At 50.8% G+C, this 26762-nt stretch overlaps 1 protein-coding gene across 4 annotated transcripts; it reads right to left on the bottom strand.

Annotated features, from left to right (window-relative positions):
- Nucleotides 1-4544: 4544 nt before the first annotated feature.
- Nucleotides 4545-26062, bottom strand: CACNG6 (calcium voltage-gated channel auxiliary subunit gamma 6). Of its 4 annotated transcripts, NM_145814.2 has the most exons (4): nucleotides 24003-25574; nucleotides 18898-18972; nucleotides 17440-17577; nucleotides 4545-5260 (listed from the first exon to the last, which is right to left on the bottom strand). In NM_145814.2, exons 1-4 carry the CDS (start codon nucleotides 24331-24333, stop codon nucleotides 5022-5024), a joined length of 783 nt encoding a protein of 260 aa, NP_665813.1. In that variant the 5' UTR covers nucleotides 24334-25574; the 3' UTR covers nucleotides 4545-5021. The 4 variants fall into 4 exon arrangements, 3 of the variants coding, with proteins under 3 accessions (NP_665813.1, NP_665814.1, NP_114103.2); NR_102308.2 differs by lacking the exons at nucleotides 17440-17577; nucleotides 24003-25574 and adding an exon at nucleotides 26014-26062; NM_145815.2 differs by lacking the exon at nucleotides 17440-17577.
- Nucleotides 26063-26762: the final 700 nt, after the last annotated feature.

Genomic DNA, 26762 nt, shown 5'->3' with positions numbered 1-26762 from the left:
TGAAATCTCATCTCTTTAAAAAAAAAATTTAAATTGGCCTGGTGTGGTGGCATGCACCTGCAGTTCCGGCTATTCAGCAGGCTGAGGTGGGAGGATCACTTGAGCCTGGGAGGTCAAGGCTGCAGTGAGCTGTGATCACGCCACGGCACTCCAGCCTGGGTGAAAGAGAGAGACCCTGTCTCAAAAAAATTAATTTAATTAAAATAGCTACTGTTGGAACACTCATACATAGCACTGTGCATCAGCAGCAGCAGCAGCTAATTTATTTTATTTTATTTTATTTATTTTATTTTATTTTGAGACAGGGTCTCACTCTGTCACCCAGGCTGGAGTGCAGTGGCATGATCTCGGCTCACTGAAACTCCATCTCCTGGGTTCAAGTGATTCTCCTGCCTCAGCCTCCTCAGTAACTGGGACTACAGACACTTACCACCATACCCAGCTAGTTATTTTGTATTTTTTGTAGAGATGATGGCCCGGCCGCCTCTGAGACCTTCTAATCTCCTTTAGTTCAAATGCTCCACCTGACAAACGTCATCCTTACTTCGGGGGTATTGTTTTCTGAGCCCCAACAATACATTGTTTCATAGGATGATGTGATTCCAGTCATTTGTCTTTGTGAGGTCTGTAATTCCTTCTCCCACTTCTGATCAATCTATGTTATATCTCTGCCTTCCCCTCCCTCCAGTCTCTCCCCACCCAGAGCTGAAGCCTGAACTGGCCGTGGGGGAACCACTCGGAGTGTGGTCAGGGAGGGTTTGGGGGAAAATTGCCATCTCCCTTTTCTCTTGAGTCTCTGGCTTTGAACCTTCCCTGCCCTGACCCCGGGTAAGAAAGAGTTTTCAGAATGATGACCCCACTGGACAAAGAGCCATTCCCACCAGGTGCGGTGGTTCATGTACCTGGGAGGCCGAGGCAGGAGAATCATACGAGCCTTGGTGTTTGAGACCAGCCTGGGCAACACAGTGAGACCCCATCTCTATTTATTTATCTTTTTTTTAATGAAGAGTGGCCAGGCACGGTAGCTCATGCCTGTAATCCCAGCATTTTGGGAGGCCAGGGCGAGTGGGTCACTTGAGACCAGAAGTGCAAGACCAATGTAGGCAACAGTGGGAGATCCCCATCTCTACAAAAAATACAAAAACTTAGCTGGCTGTGGCTGTGTGTGCCTGTAGTCCCAGGGATTTGGGGGACTGAAGCACGAGAATCGCTTGAACCTGGAAAGTCGAGGCTGCAGTGAGCCATGATTGTGCCATTGCACTCCAGCCTGGGGGACAGAGTGAGACTCCATCTTGAAAAGAAAGAAAGAAAGAGAGAAAGAAAGAAAGAGAGAGAGAAAGAGAGAAAGAGAAAGAGAAAGAAACAAAGAAAGAAAGAAAGAAGAAAAAAGAAAGAAAGAAAGAAAAAGGAAGAAAGGAAGGGAGGGAGGGAGGAAGAGAGAGAGGCCAGACGCAGTGGCTCGCGCCTGTAATTCCAGCAGTTTGGGAGACTGAGGCGGGTGGATCATGAGGTCAGGAGATCGAGACCATCCTGGCTAACAAGGTGAAACCCCGTCTGTACTAAAAAAAAATACAAAAAAATTAGCCAGGCTTGGTGGCGGGCGCCTGTAGTCCCAGCTACTCGGGAGGCTGAGGCAGGAGAATGGCGTGAACCTGGGAGGTGGAGCTTGCAGTGAGCCGAGATTGCACCACCGAGCTCCAGCCTGGGTGACAGAGCGAGACTTCGGCTCAAAAAAAAAAAAAGAAAAAGAAAGAAGGAAAGAAAGAAAGAGAGAGAGAGAGAGAAGAAAGAAAGAAAGAGGAAGAAAGAAAAGAAGGAAGGAAGGAAGGAAGGAAGGAAGGAAGGAAGGAAGGAAGGAAGGAAGGAAGGAAGGAAGGGCCATTCCCCCAAGACCAACTATCTCCGCCACCCCCATGGCAGATGTCTCTTGAGGCTTCCCTGACCTGGCTGGGCACAAAGTCAAACAACAAAAAAAAAATTGTGGACTCTCTTGTCTCCTAGCACTTAACTTGGTTTATAATTGCACGCTCATTACTTCAGTGATGTGATTAGTATCTGTTTCCATCAGCAGGCTGTCAGCTCGTCGTCGGGGGTCCCTGTTTACTCTGTAAGTGCCACTTGAGAAAAACTAACAGCAAAGGCAGATCGAGTTGCGACCACGTGCCAGGCGGTCTCCTGGGAGCTTTGCAGGGCTCATGATGGCGTTTACTCCCGACGGTGACTCCTGGGAGTAGGTACAGGATTGAGCTCACGCACCGTCTTTAGGGATGAAGGAACGAAGACAGAGAGAGGTGAAGCTGTTGCCCCAGCCATAGGTCGGGGAGCTGGGCTTTCACACCAGCCTGGCTCCCAGGTGCCCAGGCACTGCGGGGCACTTCTGCTTGTTGAATGGAAGAATGCAGAATTAGAAACAAAAATCGCATGGTCAGCTGGGCGCGGTGGCTCACGCCTGTAACCCCAGCACTTTGGGAGGCGGAGGTGGGACGATCACTTGAGGTCAGGCGTTCAAGACCAGCCAGGCCAACGTGGTGACACCCCATCTGTGCTAAAAATACAAAAATTAGCTGGGTCTGGTGGCGCACACCTGTAATCCCAGGTACTGGGGTGGCTGAGGCACAAGAATTGCTTGAACCCGGGAGGCGGAGGTTGCCGTGAGCCGAGATCGCACCACTGCCCTCCAGCCTGGGCGACAGAGTGAGACTGCAAAATAAAAATAAAAATAAAATCACATGATCATCTCAATAGATGCAGAAAAAGCATTTTGATATGGGAGGGGGGCAGAGAACTGCTGGGTAGAGAAGGGCAGGGTCTCTGGCAAGGGCTCTACCCTAGGGCCTGTGCCCATGGACCTAAATTAGAACAGGCATTTCCGAAGGTGCTGGGATTACAGATGTGAGCCACCACACCCAGCTAATTTTTGTATGTTTTGTTGTTGTTGATTTGTTTTGTTTGTTTGTTTGTTTTTAGTAGAGACAGGGTTTCACCATGTTGGCCAGGCAGATCTCGAACTCCTGACCTCAGGTGATCCACCCGCCTCGACCTCCCAAGGTGCTGGAGTTACAGGCATGAGCCGTCGCGTGGGGCCAAGACTCACCCTTTTCTTAACACCTGGCAACCACTAGTCTGTCTTCCGGGTCTGCAATTTAGTGACTTCAAGAATAAGAAACCTTGTTTCAACCCCTTGACCTGATGCCAGTGTGTCTCTGCTCAGCAAGCTCCCATGGCTCCTCAGTACCCTCAGGGTAAAGGCCAAGCTGTTCTGTTGAGCATCTGAGTCTCTCCACCTTGTTCATAAGACAGCCCACCCCAACCCTCTCACGTTTCCTGTGTCTCACTCTGAACACCAGCGTTCACATTTCCTCACTCACAGGTTCATCATGTTTTTCCTCTTGTTTCTGTCCAGGCTCTCCCACCCAGCTGGAACGCCCGTGACGTTCTCCACTTTCTCTGATTCTTACTCACCTTGAAGACTCAAGTTCGTCATCTTCTTCGGAAGGCTTTCCTGAACCAATCCCCCTTCCCCCCACCTTTTTGATTTTTTTTTTTTTTTTTTTTTTTTTTGAGACGGAGTCTTGCTCTGTCACCCAGGCTGGAGTGCAGTGGCGAGATCCCGGCTCACTGCAACCTCCAACTCCCAGGTTCAAGCAATTCTCCTGACTCAGCCTCCCGAGTAGCTGGGATTACAGGTGCCTGCCACCACACCCAGCTAATTTTTGTATTTTTAGTAGAGACGGGGGTTCACCGTGTTGGCCAGGCTGGTCTTGAACTCCTGACCTCAGGTGATCCACCCGCCTTGGCATCCCAAAGTGCTGGGATTACAGGCGTGAGCCGCCACACCCGACCAGAAAACACAATTTAGAATATATACACTGTTAATGGTTGAATGTTCTCCCCTACAAAATGTATATATATATATATATGTTGGACCCTAACCCCCAGTACCTAAGAATGTGACCTCATTTGGAGATACGGTCTTTACAGAGATAATCAAGTTAAAATAAGGTCATTGGGGGTAAATCCTAATCACGTATGACAGGAGTCATGTGTAAAGGGGAAATCTGGGTGGGGTACGGTGGCTCACGCCTGTAATCCCAGCACTTTGGGAGGCTGAGACAGGTGGATCACTTGAGATCAGGAGTTCGAGACCAGCCTGGTTAACATGGTAAAACCCCGTCTCTTCTAAAAAAAAAAAAAAAATACAAAAATTAGCTGGGCATGGTGGCTCGTGCCTGTAAACGCAGCTACTTGCGAGGCTGAGGCAGGAGAATCACTTGAGCCCAGGAGGCGGAGGTTGCGGTGAGCCAAGATTGCAGCACTACACTCCAGCCTGGGAGACAGAGCAAGACTCCGTCTCAAAATAAAAATAAAAATAAAAAATATATTGTGTTTTCCACACTCTCAACCATTGTGTATGGGTTCGTTTTCATGTGACTTCTGGGCTTAAAAGTGTTTCTGGAGGGTATGTTTCTGGAGGGAATATGGGGTCACTTTTCTTTACCCCAGAATGCACGATCACATCACAAATAGACTCCAAAGCAAAGTTGTTAAATTTCCAAACCTTTAATCCCAAATCAGATCACAGCGAGGCCAGACCCTTCGCTATCTCCCCCAACCGCACCCGGAGCTGCAGATGAGTTGTAAAAAGTCTCTCCCGGCAAGTGAATCGATCCAGACCTGGGAAATGAAGGGGCCCCCAACTCCCACCCAAGACCCCCTGACCTCATCCCCCAACCCCACACCCCAGCTACCCCATCAGGTCCCCGCCAGTCTTCTCTGGGGACCCTCGTTTGCAAAGAGCCTCTTCCCATCCCACCCCCAAGCAACCCACATACAGCCACAGAGAAAAACGTATTTACAGAGGGAGAAAGGATAAGGGGACAGGAGGCAGGCGTGTAAAAAAACATGGGCCCCCGAGCAGGGAGAACACAGTTTCTCTAGGAGATGGGGCAAAAAGATCTTGGGGGTACAATGGAGAAGGTCAAAGGGCTCGGTGGTTGCTTAGAGAAGTCTCACGCGTGGCTCTAGGTGGCCCGGTGCCCCCGCTTGGGACAGAGGGACCCCCAGGGCCAGGAAGGCAGTGTGAGCAGCAGAAAGCAGCCGGCCCCCAACAGCAGGATCAGGCCGGCCCCCACGCCGCAGCCCAGGGACCAGGAGTACTCGTAGGTGAGGCGTGGGGCCGGGGGAGGCTCCGGGCTGACTCTCTGCAGCAGGGCCCTCACGGAATGCCGGAACACCTCCAGGCTCACCAAGAGCAGCAGGCCTGCGGGAGAGAGGACAGCTCGCAGTCAGACGCCCGCGACCCCAGCTGTGTCTGAACATCTCCGCCATCCGCTCCCAGCCCTCCCGCCCACCCTGGCACCTTCCCACGCGTGCACTCAACAAATACTTACTAAACACCTACTATATAGCAGGCAGCATTTGGGAAGCTGGAGATAAAGAAAAAAAAAAACAAGACACAAAGTCATAGAGACAGAAAGTAGAAGGATGGTTGCCGAGGGCCGGAGGGAAGAGGAAAAAGGGGAGTTGGTGTTTAACAGGTATAGAATTTCAGCTGGGGAAGACGCAAATCGTTCTGAAGGTGGATGGGGGTGATAGTTGCATAACAATGTGAACGGAATTGATGCCACAGAACCGTACGCTGGAAAATGATTAAAAGGCGGATATAGAATCACAGCTAGACGGGAGAAACGCGTTCTGGTGTTCGCAGCACTGTAGGGTGAATATGGTTCCTTAGTTTTTTGTTTTTGTTTTGTTTTGTTTTTTTTTTTTTTTTTTTTTTTGAGACGGAGTCTTGCTCTGTCACCCAGGCTGGAGTGCAGTGGTGCGATCTCAGCTTATTGCAAACTCCGCCTCCTGATTCTTCTGCCTCAGTCTCCCGAGTAGCTGGGGTTCAAGCGACTCTCCTGCCTCAGCCTCCTGAGTGGCTGGGATTACACACGTGCGCTACCACGCCTGGCTAATTTTTGTGTGTGTGTGTGTGTGTATATATATATATATATATATATTTTTTTTTTTTTTTTAGTAGAGACGGGGTTTCACCATGTTGGCCAGACTAGTCTGGAACTCCTGACCTCAAGTGGTCCACCCACCTCGGCCTCCCAAAGTGCTGAGATGACAGGTGAGAGCCACCGTGCCTGGCTGTGTATTTTCAAAGAGCTAGAGGAGAGGATTTTGAAATGGTCACAACATGAAGAAATGATCAAGTTTGAAGAGGTGGATAGGCTAATTGCCCTGATCTGATCATTATGCATTGTTTACATGCATCAAACCATCCTTCTGTTTCCCACAGATATGTACAAGTACTACATGTCAACTAAAAATAAAAGAGGAGGCTGGGTGCTGTGGCTCACACCTGTAATCCAAGCGCTTTGGGACGCCGAGGACGAAGGATTGCCTGAGGCCAGGATTTTGAGACCAGCCTGGGCAACATAGCAAGACTCCATCTCTACAAAAAAAAAATTTTAAAAAATTAGCCAGGTGTGGTGGTGCACGCTTGTAGTCCCAGCTACTCAGGAGGCTGAGGTGGGAGGATCATTTGAGCCCAGAAGGATGAGGCAGCAGTGAACCGTGATCACACCAGTACACTCCAGCCTGGACAACACAGCAAGATCCCAATTCTTAAAAATATATAAATAAATAAAAATTGAAAATAAAAAGGGGAAATGGTTAAAATTACACATTTTATGTTTAGCACATTTTCCCACAACTTTTTTTTCTTAAAGCAAACACAGGAATCAGAAAACACAAAATTCAAATTAAGACTCCATTAGCGGCCAGGCACACCTACAATCCCAGCACTTTGGGAGACTGAAGCGATTGGATCACTAGAGGCCAGGAGTTTGAGACTGGCCTGGCCAACAAGGTGAAATCCCATCTCTACTAAAAATACAAAAATTGGGCCGGGCACAGTGACTCACGCCTGTAATCCCAGCACTTTGGGAGGCCGAGGCGGGTGGATCACCTGAGGTCAGGAGTTCAAGACCAGCCTGACCAACATGAAGAAACCCTATCTCTACTACAAAATTAGCTGGGCGTGGTGGTGTGCACCTGTAATCCCAGCTACTCGGGAGGCTGAGGCAGGAGAATTGCTTGAACCTGGGAGGCGGAGGTTGTGGTGAGCCAAGATCACGCCATTGCACTCCAGCCTGGGCAACAAAAAAAAAAAAAAAAGAAAGAAAAGAAATAGTCTCCATGCAAGTTTTTTAAAAGAGTGATAGAGGGGGAGGGGTCACAAAATAAAGATAAAGTCATATTGCAATGCAATTTTTTATTTTTTATTTTTTTTTTGAGACGGAGTTTCGCTCTTACACCCAGGCTGGAGTGCAGTGGCAATCTCGGCTCACTGCAACCTCTGCCTTCTGGTTTCAAGTGATTCTCCCGCCTCAGCCTCCCGAGTAGCTGGGATTACAGGCTGATTTTTTTTTTTTAAAAAAAGCAAAAAAGAAGAAAAAGAAAGAACATGATAGAGAAAGACCCTACCCTCGTGGAGCTTATATATTACTTGGAGATAGACAGTAAACAAATAAACCAAAATTTGCAAAACTCAAATGCCTGCAGGGGGCATGAGAAAGTGTAAACACACAGGGCGGCAAGTAAGGTAGAAATGATGGCAGAAGCCAGCTGCAGCTGCTCAACAGCATGATCTCAGCTCATTGCAGCTTCCGCCTCCCAGGTTCAAGCGATTCTCATGCTCAGCCTCCTGAGTACCTGCGACTACAGGTGTGCTCCACCACGCCTGGCTAATTTTTTTTTTTTTTTTTTTAGATGGAGTCTCACTCTGTTGCCCAGGCTAGAGTGCAGTGACATGATCTCAGCTCACTGCAACGCAGTGACATGATCTCAGCTCACTGCAACCTCCACCTCCCCAGTTCAAGTGATTCTCCTGCCTCAGCCTCCTGAGTAGCTGGGATTACAGACACACGCCACCACGCCTGGCTAATTTTTGTGTTTTTAGTAGAGACGGGGTTTCACCACGTTGGCCAGGCTGGTCTCGAACTTCTGACCTTGTGATCCACCTGCCTCGGCCTCCCAAAGTGCTGGGATTACAGACGTGAGCCACCGCGCCCGGCAATTTTTGTATTTTTAGTAGAGTCATGGTTTCACCATGTTGGCCAGGCTGGTCTAGAACTCCTGACCTCAAGCGATCCACTCACCTTGGCCTCCCATAGTGCTGGGATTACAGGGGTGAACTGCCGCACCCGGCCTATAATTGCTTAAATGATTATTATTTTTATGGGAATTCTCCCAACCTTTAAACGTCAACTCGAAGAAATCTTTACACACTGCCTGGCAAACAAAGCACATCTCCTGGCCATCGAGGGCCTGCAGGCTGCCAGGTTGCAATGTCCAAAATAAACAAATGAGGAGACAAGATAATCTCAGAGGGTGATGCATGAAAGGAAGGAAATAGAAACAGAGAGAGTGGCACCCAGGGGTGGAGCAGGGACTTTGGATGGTGTCGAGAAAAGCCATTTGAGCTGGGACCTGAAGGATGAAAAGAAGTCAGTCATGCTCAAAACGAAGCAACGGCTGTTCCGAGCAGAAGGAGGTGCTGACGCGAGGGTCCTGTGTAGGACGCAGCACAGAGTGTTTGGAGAAAAGAGAAAAGCTGAGTGTGGTGGGAGCAAGGAGAGTTGGGGTTGGGGAGAGAGGCGGTAATGGAACTGCAGGGGCGGGCAGGGGCCAGGTCATGCAGGACCGTCTGAGAGTCACGCATGAGTCATGGATCCCAGCCGCCTTCTCTCCAGACCCTGGAGTCCTGCCCCAACCCCAGTTCCTGACCCTGCTTCCTCCCTGCGCCCCAGCCCCACTGTGGTGTTTTTTTCTGTTTGTTTGTTTACCGGTTTTGGTTTTGTTTTGAGTCGGAATCTCACTCTGTCATCCAGGCTGGAGTGCAATGGTGCAATCTCAGCTCACTGCAGCCTCTGCCTCTCGGGTTCAAGAGACTCTCCTGCCTCAGCCTCTTGAGTAGCTGGGACTACAGGCTCTTGCCACCACGCCTGGCTCATTTTTGTATTTTTAGTAGAGATGGGGTTTCACCGTGTTGGCCAGGCTGGTCTCAAACTCCTGACCTCAGGTGATCTATCCACTTCCCAAAGTGCTGGGATTACAGGCCTGAGCCACCGTGCCCAGCCATTCACTGTGGTTTTGATTCAGGGCCTGGAGAATGCAGCCAGGATGCTGTGATTTAAAAGCCCCTTCTTTGCTCCATGCAGCCCAACATTACAGAACGGGAGGTGGAAAAGCATTTAGACAAGGACTCCCCTTCATTCCTTTCCTAATTCAATCTTTTTTTTTTTTCTTTTCTCTTTTTTAGTGACAAGGTCTCAGCCACCCAGGCTGGAGTGCAGTGGCGCGATCATAGCTCACTGCATGCAACCTTGACCTCCCAGGCTCAAGCCCTCCTCCTGCCTCAGCCTCCTGAGTAGCTGGGACTACATCGCAAGCTGCCATGGCTAATTATTTCATTTTATTTTGTAGAGACGGGATCTTTCTACATTGCCCCGGGCTGGTCTCAAACTCCTGGCCTCAAACAATCCTCCTGCCTCAGCCTCCCAAAATGTTGGGATTCCAGGTGTGAGCCACCACAGCAGACCTGATTCATGCATTCTTTGATTCATTCAACAGATGTTCATTGAGCTCTTATTACAAAATACATATAATATGATACATAAATGATACTACAACTAAATCCCTGTCCTTCTGGAGTTTCATCCAAGAAGGAGAGATGGACAATTATCAGTTAAATGCACTGTTGAGGGCTGAGTTGTGTCCTCCACAAAAAAGTTGATGTTTTGGGGTCCTGACCCCAAGTACCTCAGAACATGACTGTATTTGGATATAGAGTTCTTAAAGACAGAATTAAGTTAAGGCTGGGTGCAGTGGCTCACGCCTGTCATTCCAGCACTTTGGGAGGCCAAGGCGAGCGGATCGCAGGAGTTTGAGACCAGCCTGACCAACACGGTGAAACCCCATCCCTACTAAAAATACAAAAGTTAGCCAGGCGTGGTGGTGCATGCGTGTAATCCCAGCTACTCGGGAGGCTGAGGCATGAGAATCGCTTGAATCCTGCAGGCAGAGGCTGCAGTGAGCTGAGATCGAACCACTGCACTTCAGCCTGGGCAACAGAGTGAGACCCTGTCTCAAAAAACAAAACAAAACAAACACACACACACACAAACAGATAATTAAGTTAAAGCGAAGTCATCAGAAGGAACCCTAATCCAATGTGACTGGTGTCCTTATGAGATAAAAAAAATTTCAGGCAGGAGGATCTCTTGAGGCCAGGAATTCAAGATCAGCCTGGGCAACAGAGTGAGACCCTGTCTCTACAAAATAAAATAAAATAAAATAAAATAACAAAATAAAAAAAAGAAGGCCGGGCACAGTGGCTCACGGCTGTAGTCCCAATACTCTGGGAGGCAGAGGTGGGCAGATCACCTGAGGCCAGGAGTTCGAGACCAGCCTGGCCAACATAGAGAAACCCCCTCTCTACTAAAAAATACAAAAATTAGCTGGGTGTCATGGCGGGTGCCTGTAATCCCAGCTACTCGGGAGGCTGAGGCAGGAGAATCACTTGAACCCGGGAGGGGGAGGTTGCAGTGAGCAGAGAGAGATCACACCACTGCACTCCAATCTGGGTGACAGAGCCAGACTCTGACTCAACAAAAAAAAAAAAAAAAAAAAAAGAAAAGAAAGAAGGAACTGGGGACACAGACCAGTACAGAGGGAAGACCATGTGAAGATACAGGGATAAGTTGGCCATTTACAAGACAAGAAGAGAAGCCTTGGAGAAAACTTCCCTGTGGACGCGTTGGTCTTAGACCTCCAGCCTCCAGAACGGTGAGGAAATCAATCTCTGTTGTACCACAGCCACCCAGGCTGTGGTACTTTCTTATGGTGGCCCTGGCAAATGAATACGGGCATAAATAAATAGAGAGCCACCCAGGCTGTGGTACTTTCTTATAGTGGCCCTGGCAAATGAATACGGGCATAAATAAGCAGAGAATTTCAGGTAGTGATAAATTCTGTGAAGAAAAATAAAGCAGGTAAAGTCCCAGCTAGAAATGAGTCTTCTTTCTTTCTTATTTTATTTATTTATTTATTTATTTATTTATTTTTGAAACAGAGTCTTGCTCTGTCACCCAGGATGGAGTGCAGTGGTGCGATCTCAGCTCACTTCTACCTCCACCTCCCAGGTTCAAATGATCCTCCCACCTCAGCCTCCCGAGTTGCTGGGATTACAGGCACCCGCCGCCACGCCCAGCTAATTTTTGTATTTTTAGTAGAGACAGGGTTTCACCATGTTGGTCAGGTTGGTCTCAAACTCCTGGCCTTAAGTGATCTGCCAGCCTCGGCTCCCAAAGTTATGGGATAACAGGAGTGAGCCACCGCGCCTGGTTTATTTTATTTTATTTTATTTTATTTTATTTTATTTTATTTTATTTTATTTTATTTTAAGAGGGAGTCTCACTCTGTTGCCCAGGCTGGAGTGCAGTGGCGCGATCTTGGCTCACTGCAATCTCCACCTCTTGAATTCAAGTGATTCCCCTGCCTCAGCCTCCTTAGTAGCTGGGACTACAGGCATCACCACCATGCCCGCCTAATTTTTTATATCTTAGTAAAAACGGGGTTTCACCACGTTGGCCAGGCTGGTCTCGAACTCCTAATCCTGAGATCTGCCCGCCTCAGCCTCCCAAAGTGCTGGGATTACAGGCATGAACCACCATGCCCGGCCAGTTTATTTTATTTTTAAATTTTTATCTATTTTTTTTTGAGATCAGGTTATGAGACTAGCTAGTTTTTGTATTTTTGGTAGAGATGGGGTTTCACTATGTTGCCCAGGCTGGTCTCGAACTCCTGGGCTCAAGGGATCACGTACCTCGCCCTCCCAAAGTGCTGGGATTGCAGGCGTGAGCCACCGCGCCCAGTTTCTCTCACGTGCTCTTTCTTTTATTATTATTTATTTATTTATTTATTTATTTATTTATTTATTTATTTTTGAGATGGAGTCTCGCTCTGTCGCCCAGGCTGGAGTGCAGTGGCGCGATCCCAGCTCACTGCAACCTCCACCTCCCGGGTTCAAGCGATTCTCCCGCCTCAGCCTCCTGCTTAGCTGGGATTACAGGCGCCCGCCACCACGCCCGGCTGATTTTTGTATTTTAGTAGAGTCAGGGTTTCACCATGGTAGTCAGGCTGGTCTCCAACTCCTGATCTTGTGAGCCACCTGCCTCGGCCTCCCAAAGTGTTGGGATTACAGGCGTGAGCCACCGCGCCCCCCTCTTTTATTTATTTATTTATTTATTTATTTTTAACATTTTCTTGGATACCAAATGAGTCCCCTTTAGACACGATGGTCAGTGCTGGTCTCTCTGAGGTGGTGACATTTGACCAGAGACTTAAACAATGCGAGGAAACGAGACACGTGAAGCGCCGGCGGAAGAACGCTCCAGGCCGAGGAGGCAGCCCGGGAAAACACGCTGCGGGAGGAATGAGCTTAGAGCGTCTGGGGAACAGCAGAGGCTGGCGTGGCCGGAGCAGGGAGAGCAGGTGGCAGGAGAGGGAGTCGCAGGGCGCCGGGAGTCAGCCCGCGCGAGGCCTTGCCACCATGTTATTCTAGCAGTAGGAATTTAAGTGGCTTTTATTCTGGGGAGAATCCGTGATCCGACTTATGATATAAAAGTATCACTTAGGGGCCAGGCGTGGTGGCTCACACCTGTAATCCCAACACTTTGGGAGGCTGAGGCGGGCAGATCACCTGAGGTCATCAGGAGTTCGAGGCCAGCCTGGCCAACATGGAGAAAGCCCATCTCTACTAAACACACACACACACACACACACACACACACACACACACACACACACACACACACACAAAAATACAAAATTAACCAGGCGTGGTGGCGCATGCCTGTAATCCCAGCTCGGGAGGCTGAGGCAGGAGACTCGCTTGAATCCAGGAGTCAGACGTTTCAGTGAGTCGAGATCGTGCCATTGCACTCCAGCCTGGGCAACAAGAGCGAAACTCCGTCTCAAAAAAAAAAAAGTATCACTTGGCCGGGTGCGGTGGCTCATGCCTGTCATCCCAATAGTTTGGGAGGCTGAAGCGAGAGGACTGCTTGAGTCCAGGAATTCAAGATTAGCCTGGGCAACATAGTGAGACCTCATCTCTGCAAATAATTTTAAAAATTAGCCCAGAGTGGTGACGTGTGCCTGTGGTCCCAGCTACTCGAGGATGAGGTGGGAGGATTGCTTGAGCCCAGGAGGTTGAGGCTGCAGTGAGCTGTGATTGTGCCACTGTACATCAGCCTGGGCGACAGAGCCAGACCCTGTCTTAAAAAATTTAAAATTAAAAAAATAGAAGTATCACTCTAGCTGCTCTGTGGAGAATGGACTTGAGGAGGTTAAAAGGAGAAGCATAGAGAAGAGTTAGGAGGCCATAGAAATTACCTCGGGGAAATATAGCCGTGGCTTGGATTAGTGAAACCGAGGGAAGTGTTTGCATTCAAAACACATTTTGGAAGCAGTGCCAATAGAATTTGCTGGTGGATGGCTAGGCAGGGTGGCTCATGCCTGTAATCCCAGCACTTTCGGAGGCCAAGGCAGGTGGATCACCTGAGGTCAGGAGTTCGAGACCAGCCTGGCCAACATGGAGAAACCCAGTCTCTATTAAAAATACAAAACTTAGCCAGGTGTGGTGGCAGGCACCTGTAATCCCAGCTACTTCCGAGGCTGTGGCAGGAGAATCGCTGGAACCCGGGAGGCAGAGGTTGCAGTGAGCCGAGATCGCACCGCTGCACTCCAGCCTGGGTGACAGAGCAAAACTGTCTCAAAAATAAAAAATAAATAAAATAAATAAAAAGGCATGCGGGTCTGGCTCCTGCGGCTTCTCCAGCCTCCTCTCAAGCTGCTCCTCCCACACTCTCGCAGCGTGGAGCAGGACTTTCAATGCACCAGATTTGTTCAGGCTTGAAGACCTTTATGCTGCTTGGAATAATTTTCCGCCTCCCCCTCCCTGAGCCTGTCTTAGATGTCCTTATTCTTCACATCTCTGTATGAAGTACATGTTTCAAAGGGACGCCTTCACTAACCACTGCCACCTAAATCTACAGTGGGTCTCCTGTCATACATTTTTCTCATACTCTGTACTTTTTATCTATAGCATTCATCACAGTTGGTAGTTATGAATGTATATTGATTTGTATGACTAATGTCTCTTTATCTCATTTCTGTCTCTCCCACTGCACTATAAATCCACGAGGGCAGCAGACTTCTCTGTCTCATACCTCTAAAACTAGAACAACAGCTGATATATGTATTATAAGGAGAGAAACAAGACAACCTGAACACGACCCTTTATTTAGGGAGACCTCAAAATCCCAACCTGCCCCAGTCCCTGACACGCAATCTAACCACAGTAATTACAACATCAAATCCTTCTTCACTCTCAATTGGTTGTACAATCTGTGGAACATTTTTGTGCTCAAGACTTTCATAAAACACTTTTATATCAACAGTTTCCTGTGCACCCCCAGGAGTAATGCAGGTGTGAGTTCAATAATAACACCAGCACTAAATTCCTAGCAAGCTACAAATTCCATGAGAACAAACATCATCTTTATTTTATTCATCGTTGCGTCCTCAGCGGCTCCTAGCACAGCATCTGGGACTCACTGGATATTAAAGAAATACTTGTTAAATGAATGGACAAGTAAAAAAAAAAAAAAGGAGAAATAGATGATTGGAGGGAGAGAGGAAGGGAAAGAGGGTGGAAAAGAAAGAAAAGAGAGAGGGGCCGGGCTTGGTGGCTCATACCTATAATCCCAGCACTTTTGGGAGGCCGAGGTGGGCGGATCACTTGAGCTCAGGAGTTGGAGACCAGCCTGGGCAACACAGCGAAACCCTATCTCTACAAAAAAAAAAAAAACAAAAAAAACAAAAAAACCGAAAATTAGCCGGGCTTGGCGGCATGCACCTGTATTCCCAGCTACTCAGGAGGCTGAAAGGTAGGGAGGACAATCACTTGAGCCTTGGAAGTCGAAGTTGCAGTGAGATGAGATTGCACCACTGTACTCCAGCCTGGATGAGAGAGCGAGACCCTGTCTCAAAAACAAAAAAAAAAGAGAGAGATAGAAAGAGACATAGGGAAAGAGAGAGAGGGGAAGGAAGGGGAGAGAAGGAGGAAACTGATCAATCAACGGAAGGATAAATGGATGGATGGATAGGATGGACACAATACTAACAGATACATGGATGAGTGAGTTCATGGCTATAAGGAGATTTAAGCTCAGAGATAGAAAAAGGTTTGCCCCAATTACATGGCTGTTAAGAAGTTGGGACTCCAACCCAGATCTTTTTGATTCCCTGTTAATGTCACAGGACCAGTGACATTAATGTCACATTAATGCAGTGACATCTTTTACACCAGTCTCCCTGTCTCTCTCCACACTCCTGTCACACTGGCTTTCTTTCAAGATCTGCAATGCAGCAAACTCTCCCAGCTTGTCTATCCATACTTTGACATCTTCAATGTCACCTCCCCAGAGAGGCCCTCTCTAAATCCCTGAGGACAGAACGATGAAAAAGATAAAGATGATGTCTGTTTTCATGGAATTTGTAGCTTGGTAGGAATTTGGTGCTGGCGTTATTATTAAACTCACACCTGCATTACCCCTGGGGGTGCACAGGAAGGTGTTGATATAAAAGTGTTTTATGAAAGTCTTGGCCGGGCGCGGTGGCTCACGCCTGTAATCCCAGCACTTTGGGAGGCCAAGGTGGGTGGATCACTTGAGGTCAGGAGTTGGAGACCAGCCTGGTCAACATGATGAAACCCTGTCTCTACTAAAAATACAAAAATTAGCCAGGCGTGGTGGCACACACCTGTAATCCTAGCTACTTGGGAGGCTGAGTCAGGAGAATTGCTTGAACCTGAGAGGCGGAGGTTGCAGTGAGCTGAGATTGTGCCACTGCACTCCAGCGTGGGCAACAAGAGCGAAACTCTGTCTCAAAAAAAAAAAAAGAAAGAAAAGAAAAGAAAACATTTGATCCAAGAAGAAAACCAAGGCCCAGAAAATAAAAGGAACCTTCCCAAGGCCACACAGTGATTCAGGGCACAGCTTGGGCTGGAACCTAGAGGCAGAGGTTGTAGTGAGCTGAAATCGTGCCACTGCACTCCAGCCTGGGCGACAGAGTGAGACTCCATCTCAAAAAAGAAAGAAAGAAAACCGAGTTTAAAATCCCACCTCTGCCATCATGCCATCATTGATTGTGTGCCCATGAGTAATTCATCTGACTTCTCTGAGCCTCAATTTCCTCATTTATAAAATGGGGGAAGCTGTGTGTGGTGGCTCATGCCTATAATCCCAGCACTTTGGGAGGCCAAGACAGGCAGATCACTTGACGTCAGGAGTTCGAGACCAGCCTGGCTTATGTGGTGAAACCCTGTCTCTACCGAAAAATACAAAAATTAGCCAGGCGTGGTGGTGCCTGCTTGTAATCCCAGCTACTTGGGAAACTGAGGCAGAAGAATCACTTGAACCCAGCAGGCGGAGGTTGCAGTGAGCCGAGATCATGCCATTACACTCCAGCCTGGGAGACAAAGGGAGACTCTGTCTCAAAAATAAATAAGTAAATAAAATGGGGGATAGTAAGCCCTGCCTAATAGTGCTGTTGTAAGGATTTGAACTGGAAGTACAATAAACTGAAGTGTTGTTTATTACTGAGGGCTACATTTCACAAGATGCAGCATTTTATTTAGACCTTCAGCTCCAAGAATGCAACAGTCCTTGCAGACCTCAAGTCTCAAATCTAAAAGAGCATTTAGAGACCATCAAATTCTGAGCCAACAATAGGGCTTGGAACTCTTCCACCTTTGAGCCTGCTATAGCCCCTGGGCTTCCCTGACCTCTCAACACGCTATAGTGCTTAAAACATCTCAGCATGAAACAGTGTTTGGGGACTCCATGTTCAAACCTTGAAAAGCGTTTGGACAGCTTCCAATTCCCAGCCAACAACAGGGCTTAGAACTCTCCAATTTTTGAGACCTCTATAGTCCTTGCGCTTTCTCTAATGCCTAGCATGCAACAGTGATTGGAAATCCCAGGTCCAAATCTAAAACAATGTTTGGACACCCTCCAATCCTTAGCCCGGTTGTTGGGGTTCTCCCATCTTTGAACCTACTATAGCCCTTGGGCTTCCCCTCAACTCCAAGCATGCAACAGGGCTTGGAGATCCCACCTCCCAGCGTGCAACAGTGTGTGGAGATCCTACTCCCAGCATGCAACAGTGTGTGGAGACCCTACTCCCAGCATGCAACAGTGCATAGAGATTCCATCTCTGAGCGTGCAACAGTGCATAGAGACCCCATCTCCCAGCATGCAACAGTGCCTGGAGATCCTCCCAGCATGCAATGTCCTCAGCCTCCAGGCTCTGAACCCTCACCTGAGAGGCCAAAGCAGACGGCTCCAACTCGGAGCAGGAACTCTGCACCTTTACTGAGCACCATGATGATACAGAGGCACCCCAAGGCCATGACTGCCAGGCCCAGCACTGCTATCACCGCAGCTGCCAGATTCACCTCTGCCAGCAGGAGAGAGGAAAGAAGCAGAGAACATGGGATGTAGGGAATGAGGAGGATTCACCCATAGGAACCCAGAACCAGGAAGATGTAAGATTCGGGACGAGAGAAGAATTTTCAAGTAGAGTATCATCCAGCCCAACATTTTACTTACACTGTTGAAGGAATTAAGACTCAGAAAGGGTCAGTTATTTCTCTAAAGTCACTGAGCAAAGGGAGGAGAGGGCCAGGATTAGAAAGAGTTGAGAATTACCAACTATTACTTAGGATCTGGTTACCACTGGTTTACAGTTGAGGAAGCTGAGGCAGTGGGGTGTGTGGGAGACGATGGCAAAGGCAGTGTGCTACAGTGGAATGATCCAGGTTGGAAATCTCACCAACTACTTCCTACATGGAAGATTCTAGTAGGATTTTCCAGATTCCAGTAGGAATTTAGGCTGAACCCTTCTCAGCCTAAATTTCCTCCTGTGGACCAGGTGCGGTGGCTCACACCTATAATCCCAGCACTTTGGGAGGCCAAGGTGGGTGGATCACTTGAGATCAGGAGAGTTCAAGACCAGGCTGGCCAACATGGTGAAAAATTTTCCTGGGAAGAATAATTGTAACCATTCCTGGACTTCTGGAAGATGGAAGATAAAGCCCCCACCCTGCAGGGCTACTGCGAGGACTGGAGATCTTACAGATGGAGTGCCCAGCACTGTGGTCAGTACTTGATGCCTGCAGGTTTGTGAGATGTCCAAGTGCTACCCACAGAGAGGGGCTGCGACTTGCCCGGGGTGACACAGAACGTGGCATAGGCAGAGATGGGGTAAGAGCTCTAGGCACAGCTAGGTGCAGTGGCTCACGCCTGTCATCCCAGCACTTTGGGAGGCTGAGGAGAGGGATCACCTGAGGTCAGGAGTTCAAGACCAGCCTGGTCAACATGGTGAAACCCCATCTCTACTAAAAATATAAAAATTAGCTGGGCATGATGGTGGGCGCCTATAGTCTCAGCTACTCAGGAGGCTGAGGTAGGTGAATTGCTTGAACCTGGGAGGCGGAGGTTGCAGTGAGCCGAGATTGTGCCACTGCACTCCAGCCTGGGTGACAGAGCAAGACATCATCTCAAAAAAAAAAAAAAAAAAGAGTTCTCTAGATTCTCTAGAGCACCATGTCCCCATCATTAACTCTCCCGCCAGCACTCCCCAGGGGACAGCCACAGATTATAGACACGAGACCTGCCCTGGGGTAAAGCAGAGGAGGGGATAACTCTCTCTAGAACTCCTCCAGCACGCTCAGCATTTCCCCCACCTGTCACCCAGCAGGGGGTGAAAAGTTCTCACCTTTCTTTGTGGTTCTCTGAAAGATGCGTGCATTCTCCCCCGTGGTGAAGAATTTAAAATAGGTGCAGTTTGCTTCTGTGGGAGCAGGAGAGAGAAAACAGACATGAGGATGTGAGGTCCCTTGCGTAAGCTCAGGGCTGGACAGTTAACAGCCCACGGGAGCCTAAAACTTGGACATCAGCATCCCTGATACACAGAGGAGAAAAATGATGCCCAGAGGTGTGAAAGCCACCTGCGACCACACTGCCATCTAGGAGCTGGGACTCCTACCCGGGGCTCTGAGCCCCAGACCTGTGGCCCCAAGTGCGCCATTAGCCTCTCTGGGTCTCTAGTTCCTCCTCTTTAAAACGAGATAATAATCTCTTTCCTGGCCCCTTCGTATGGGTTTGTTGAGGGTCAAGTGGGATTACATATGGATAATCACTTGATTCAACAAAGGATACCAAGATACAAGTAGCAGAAGACTAACAGACTCAGAAAGGAATCCTGTCTCAGGAAGGATTCCTACCTAGAACACACAAAGAGCTCCTGCGGATTAGCAAGAAGAGAGAGAGAACCCAGTTGACAAATGGGCAAAGGGTATGAATAGTAATTCACAAAAGAGGAAGCCTGGGTAACTCATAAGTCCATGGAGAGATGCCCCACTTCACCAGGGATCAGAGAGAGGCAGCCGGAATCAGCAGGGAGCCACCACTTCCCATCAATTAGATTGGCCAACATTAAAAGGGTCATATCAAGCGTTTGAAAAGATAAGAGGAAACACCGTGTATGAACGGGTACTCCTAGTCTTTTGGGAAGGCACTCTGAGGTACTTTATGAAATGAAGAATGTTCATAGCCTGTGGCTCAACAATTTCATTGCAGGGTATAACTCCAGAAAAAAAAAACAAAACAGGAATATATATGCAGATGTTTACAGCAGCACTGTTTATAAGTAACATGGAGTCAGAATCAAGTCAGGTGTCCATCTAATGGGGAACAGACAAGTAAATGACACAGACAGTCCTTGTGAAAATCTCTCCAGTACATATAGCCATGAATTAGAATAACCTAAAGCAAGATGGAGAGATTTGAGAAACACAGTGTTGATCAAAACAATAATGATAATTAATATTAATAATTTAATTTAAAAATCCAAAAATTGAGGCCAGGAAAGGTGGCTCACACCTGTAATCCCTGCACTTTGGGAGGCCGAGGCAGGAGAATCACTTGAGCTCAGGAGTTTGAGACCAGCCTGGCCAACGTGGTGAAACCCCGTCTGTACCAAAAATACAAAAAATCAGCTGGGTGTGGCAGCACACACCTGTAATCCCAGCTACTCGGGAGGCTGAGGCAAGAGGATCCCTTCAGCCTGGGAGGCAGAGGTTGCAGTGAGCCAAGATTGTACTACTGCACTCCAGCCTGGGTGATAGAGTGAGATCCCATCTCAAAAAAAAAAAAAAAAAAAAAAATCCCAAAGATCAGACAAAATCAATAGCATGATCTCATTTATGTAAAACACACATATAAACTAACACTATATATTTTCCAAGTCAAAATACATATCTGTGAGTGTATATCAAACACATTAAAGAGATGAGCTGGAAAAGAACGAGGAAAAAATAATATAAAACAAAGCACAGGGCCGGGTGTGCTGGCTCATGCCTGTAATCCCAACACATTGGGAGGCCAAGGCAGGCAGATCACTTGGGGTCAGGAGTTCGAGACCAGCCTTGTCAATATGGTGAAACCCCATCTCTACTAAAAGTACAAAAATTAGCCGGGAGTGGTGGCACATGCCTGTAATCCCAGCTACTCAGGAGGCTGAGGCAGGAGAGTCGCTTGAACCCGGGAAGCAGAGGTTGCAGTGAGCTGAGATGGCACCACTGCAATCCAGCATGGGTGACAGAGCAAGACTACATCTCAAAAAAAAAAAGAGAGAGAGAGAAATTTTAAAGTTAAGAAAGACAGAAAAAGGAAGAAAGGGAGAGAAGGAAGGAGAAATGAAGGAAGGGAGGGGAGCACTTTCTGAAGTGCATTTTAGACCCAGAAATTCCCTCAGAATTCACCTAGCCTGACCTACTCTCTTATTCTACAGATGGGGAAACTGAGGCACAGAAAGAGAGAAGAGAGGTCGAGAATAACAGGAGTAAAGGCCATAGAAGAGGGACCAGGCAGTCCATGAATGTGAAAAATTGAACTTTTCAATTTGAACAAGGATATGAAGGGACAAGAAATCAATCCCTGAGTCAGGTGAGGTGGTGTGGGCGGGCGCTCCCCAAGTACCCCGAGGGGAGGTGAAGGGGTGAGATGTCCGGCCAGGAGGAGTGGGATATGTGAGTTCTTATGCAGCAGCAAGAGGTAGAGGATGCTGGGCTGCGCGTGGTGGCTCATGCCTGTCATCCCAGCACTTTGGGAGGCCGAGGCGGGCAGATCACCTGAGGTCAGGAGTTTGAGACCAGCCTCGTCAACATGGTGAAACCCCGTCTCTACTAAAAATACAAAAATTAGCCGGATGTTGTGGTGCATGCCTGTAATCCCAGCTACTTGGGAGACAGAGGCAGGAGAATTGCTTGAACCTTGGAGGCAGAGGTTGCAGTGGGCCGAGATCGTGCCATTGCACTCCAGCCGGGGCAACAAGAGCAAAACTCCATTTCAAAGAAAAAGAGGTAAAGGGTGCTTCACGTCACTGAGCGAAGGGTGCAGGTGCTCTTTGAAGCAGTCATTGCGGGAAACACGGTCTACATCCACAAGGGAAGTGTGACGGCCCTTCTGGGACAATGTAGGTTGCCTGGCATCCTCTTTTGGCTACTAATAGTTTAGCACATCCCAATTCGACCACCCCCAAACATGACACATCCCATCTGGAAAAGTGCAGGGTAAGGGTCACCCCCACATTCCATACTTATAGCCAAGGGAGCCAGGGATGCCTTTTGATGGGCAGTGGTGAGTGTGAGATATTTCTCTGAGATAATGAAGATTGAGAGATGTCCTCTGAGGGGTTGGGTTTGTAAGATAACGTTAATGGCCCTGCTGGAAGACTGAAGTCCTTTCTGATCAATGGAGGGGACAGCAAGGGATGCAAGGAACCCCATACAATGCGGTGAGATGGGATGGGCCACCCCTCCATTGTCCCAGGACCTTTGACCTTTGGGATCTCTTGATGGACCAGTGAGATGTGATATAATGCAGTTGTTGAGAAGAGAGGCAACCAAGCTTCAAATTCCATCTAACTAGCCTGGGTGCATAGACCGAGCCACCGAGATTTCTCGCCCCCTCATTTTTCTCTTCTCTAGAACGGGAGTGATAATAACGACTCATAGGCTAGCTATGATGCTTGATGAGTTAATGTACATAAAACACTGAGATGAGAACCAGGCATTACATAAGCAGCTACTATTCTTATTACTGGGGACTCCCATTTTGCAAAAGTTTGAGATCATCCTTTATGAGACCCCTGAGGGGCCAGAGACAGCCCATCTGCAGAAATAAAATGATCAAGGGTAGCCCATCTGGACACCAAGTGGGTAGCTCAGACAGCCGGGGGGCCTGGCATCCCACTGTCCTATCGAGGGCTTGGGACATCCTATTTTGCACTCTACACATATAAGATATCACATCTGGAGAAGTGAGGGACGAGGGAAATCTCATACGGAGCCCAGAAAAATAGGCCATATTCTTTGAGGGGCACTGGGATGATAGGACCGTCTTTGGAGACTGAAGAGTGCTGGAGATCTCATATGGGTGATCAAATATATGACAGCCCAAATGGGCTCTGAGGAGTGCCAGGTATTTTCCATGGGTCAGTGGAGGTAGAAGGAGATTTCATCCAGTTCCCAAGGGGTATAGAATGTCCCCCTGGTATAAGCACAAGCCGTGGCGTGGCGTGTCAGGGAGGTATGGAACAGCTCTCTGCCATGCCCAGGGATAAAACAGCCATGATTTGGGAAAGGAGGGAGTATGGGAATGTCTCTCGGAGAAAATGAGAAACGCTGAAATGTCCAGTCTGGGCATTTGGAGGCGAGAGGACAGGAAGTGAAGAACATTGCAGGGAAGGAACAAGGTCTGCCCTCGGGTGTTGGGAGGCGTCTGGTGAGAGCTTGGTTTGGTGGAAGCAGTAGGTGGGGAACAGGCATAGATCCTGCTTTGGGGTGGGCGTCTGTCTCCCCAGGGCTCACAGGATGGGAGCGCAAGCTGTCTCCAGGCTGGGAAGAGGAAGCTGACACCAGGAACCCAGGCTGTCTCTCCATGGGCACAGGCTGTCTGTGGGCACATGCAGAGTGGGCACGGGCTGTCTCCAGGGCACAGGCACTTCCAGAGGGTGCAGGCTGTCTGGGGTGGGCACAGGCTATCTGAGGACACCAGCTGTGTCTGGAATCACAGGCTGGGTCTGGGGACACAGGCAAGATTTTTCTAGTGACACAGGCTCTCTCTAGAGCTGTAGGCTGGTCTGGGGGGACACAGCGATGCCTGGGAACATTGGCTGTGTGGGGGCAGGGACTTTGGGGGTCATAGAATCATCTGGGACCATAGCCTGGTGTGGAGGTGCAGGCTGATCTGAGGGCACAGGCTGGTGTAAGGATGCAGGCTGGTCTGGGGGTATAGACTGGTCTAGGGGTGCATGTTAGTCTGGGGGTGGAAACTGTAGCTGGGGACACAGGCTCATCTGGGGGTACAGGATAGTCGGGGTACAGGATGGTCTTGGGGCACAGGCTGTAGGCGGGGGCACAAGCTCTCTTTAGAGGTGCAGAATAGGGGTACAGACTCGTCTGAGGGGGTCTCAGGTCACAGCCTGGTCTGGGGGTACAGGATGGCCTGGGGGCACAGACTCCCTGTAGGCACATTCTGGTCTTGGGGTACAGTCTGTAGCAGGAAAGCAAGCTCTAAGGCACAGGTTCTCTGGCGGTAGGCCCGTGAGGGACCTGGGCCATATCTGGGGGATCCCTCTATCTCTCAGCAGTTTCTGAGAGCAGAGGACGAAGTGGGCACTGGCGCTTACTGCGAGGCAAGCTGTCTCCTCCGGGCTCAGGCTTTTGTCCCTGGGGCGGGTTTTCTCCTCGGACACGGGCCCCTCTCCCTCCCTGTCCGTGGGACGCAAGCCCTGCGCTCGGGGCGGCGGCTGCTCACCTCCGGGCAGCTCCGCGGGGCCGCAGGTGTCCCTGTCCACGGGCACGTCCGCCTGCCACAGCCGCTTGGTGCACGCCTTCCACAGCCCCAGGTGGGCCGCTTCGCACACGGCGCTGCCGTTGGCCTTGTAGGTGTTGAGCTCCACCCAGAACTCGGTGCCCACGGACAGCACCGCCAGCGTGGCGCCCACGGCGGCCAGCAGCAGCGCCAGCTTCACCTTCCCCTCGCGCTCGGGCGTCAGCCCCGACCTGCCCTGCCCGTGCGCCCGCCGCCGGCCCGCGGCCCCCCGCCGCCGGTTCTCCTCTTGCAGGAAGAAGTTGGACCACATCATCTTATGGCCGGTGGGGTCGGGAAGGGGGAGGAGGCAGAGCCGGCGAAGGGCCTCGAGGGGCGGGAGCGAGGAGCGGCCTGGGGTCTTGAAGGGGGTGAGGGACTCAGTTTCCCCTGGGTATGAAAGAGGGAGAGCCGAGTCCTGTCTGGAATCTCAAATGCGAAAGTCGAGATTGCTTCTGGGGTTCAGAAGAGAAAAATGATCCCCAGGGCTGGGGAAGCCTCTGGGGTTCAGAGGAGGGTCTAGGTTGCCCTCAAGAACTTGGCAAAGAAGACGGGGCCCAGAGGAAAAACAAGGCCCCCACCCTGAGGTTTAGAGATAGAATTCGGCTTCCCAGGAGGGAGTCCCCCCAAGAGCTCCAGAGGAATGAGAACTGGTGCCCGCTGAAGCTCCCTGCAGCTCCAAGGGGCTGCTTTGGGGTCCCCGCTGGGGGGTTAACAAAAGGGAAACTGGTTTTCCTGAGAGATCTGAGCACCCCACTAGGGCTAAGAGTTTGGGGTACCCAGGAAGGGACCTGAGGTCCTGTGTGTGTTTGGAGGAGATGTGGCCGGGGTTCCCTTGGGCTCAGAGTTTGAGAACAGAGGACTTGGGGACCCTCTGGGATTCGGAAAAGGAAGACCTGGGGTCCCGGGAAGCTCCCAAGGGGAGGTCGGAATTCAATCCGGGTCTCAAGAGAGGCAGTAGGACCCCGGCATCCACAGAAGGAGAAGAACAGAGCCCTGGCTGGGGCTCAGAAGAGGACTGGGCCTCGCTGGAATTCAGGAAAAGGGGATAGGGGTCTCCCCTGCCATTCAGAAAAGATCCGAGGTCTCTACTGAGCCTGGAAAAGGGGCCGGTGGCCGGAAGACAGAGTGGAGTCCAGAGGCGGGAGGCTACGGGGCCTCCCCGAGGGCTGGGGCAGATGGGACCGGGGGCCCTCCTGGGGCTCACACTATGGGGCTGTGGTCCGCACTGCGGCTCGGAAAACCAGGACTGAGTCCCCCCAGGGTTCAAAGGCCAACCGCGACCCGCAAGAGACGCTGCGCCCCTTCGGGATCAGTCCGTCTCCCTCCCCCGGGCTCCCAGGGCCTTCCCGGTCGGGTTCGCGCCAGGCTCAGCCCCAGGCCAGGGCCCCCCCTCGGGGCTCCCACCCCCGACTCCCGAGCAGGGGCCCCTCTCGCTCTCCTGCCTCGGCCCCGCGCCGACCCCAGCTCCGCGCTGCCTCCGAAGCGTCCGGCTGTGCCCGCCACCGCCACCGGCCTGGCCTCCGCCCGCGCCCGGCCTCGTCCCCACCCGCCCACCCCCCACCCTCCACCCTCCACCCTCGGGGCTATTTCGGGCTTGACCCGTAAATAACACCCGCACCTGTCGCCCGGCGCCTGTTGCCATAGGGATCCCGGGTGTTTTAAGGGGACGAGGAAGGGGGGAGGGAGGCCGCCCGGGGAGGAAGGGGCCGAGCCTGATGGGACTTTCATTTCACTAAGGGGCAAGAGCGGCGCCGAGAGTCCCAGCTCCGCAGTCTCCCGGGCAGCAGGAGACGGGCGGGGCAGCAAGTCTGACTGGGGTTACCAGGGAGGAGGGGCGGGAGGCAGGGCCCCGGGTCTCAGGGAGGAGGGCCTGAGGCCAGGAGTCTTGGGTCCCTAAGGGAGAAGAAGCCTCGGTACCCCACTTCTGAGTGGTAGAGGAAGAAGGCCTGGGTACCCAGAATCTTGGATCTGAGAGGAGAGGAACCTGGTCTCCTAGGTCCTGGGCTCCTGAGTCTGAGGGAGGAGGGGCTGGGGGCCTGAACTCCTGGGTCTGAGGGAGGAGGGGCTGGGGTCTGGACTCCTGGGTCTGAGGGAGGAGGGGCTGGGCCTGGGCTCCTGAGTCTGAGGGAGGAGGGACTGGGGCCTGGACTTCTGGGTCTGAGGGAGGAGGGACTGGGGCCTGAACTCCTGGGTCTGAAGGAGGAGGGGCTGGGGGCCTGGACTCCTGGGTCTGAGGGAGGAGGGGCTGGGGGCCTGGACTCCTGGGTCTGAGGGAGGAGGGGTTGGGGGCCTGGGCTCCTGGGTCTGAGGGAGGAGGGGCTGGGGGTCTGGACTCCTGGGTCTGAGGGAGGAGGGGCTGGGGCCTGGACTCCTGGGTCTGAGGGAGGAGGGGCTGGGGGCCTGGGCTCCTGAGTCTGAGGGAGGAGGGGCTGGGGGCCTGGACTTCTGGGTCTGAGGGAGGAGGGACTGGGGCCTGAACTCCTGGGTCTGAAGGAGGAGGGGCTGGGGGCCTGGACTCCTGGGTCTGAGGGAGGAGGGGCTGGGGGCCTGGGCTCCTGGGTCTGAGGGAGGAGGGGCTGGGGGCCTGGGCTCCTGGGTCTGAGGGAGGAGGGGCTGGGGGCCTGGGCTCCTGGGTCTGAGGGAGGAAGGCCTGGGCCTGGACTCCTGGGTCTGAGGGAGGAGGGGGCAGGGGGCCTGGACTCC

The sequence above is a fragment of the Homo sapiens genome, chromosome 19 (assembly GCF_000001405.40).
Source record: "Homo sapiens chromosome 19, GRCh38.p14 Primary Assembly".
In the NCBI taxonomy this organism is placed as follows: Eukaryota; Metazoa; Chordata; class Mammalia; order Primates; family Hominidae; genus Homo; species Homo sapiens.
This window is presented reverse-complemented; position numbering and strand designations above follow the sequence as displayed.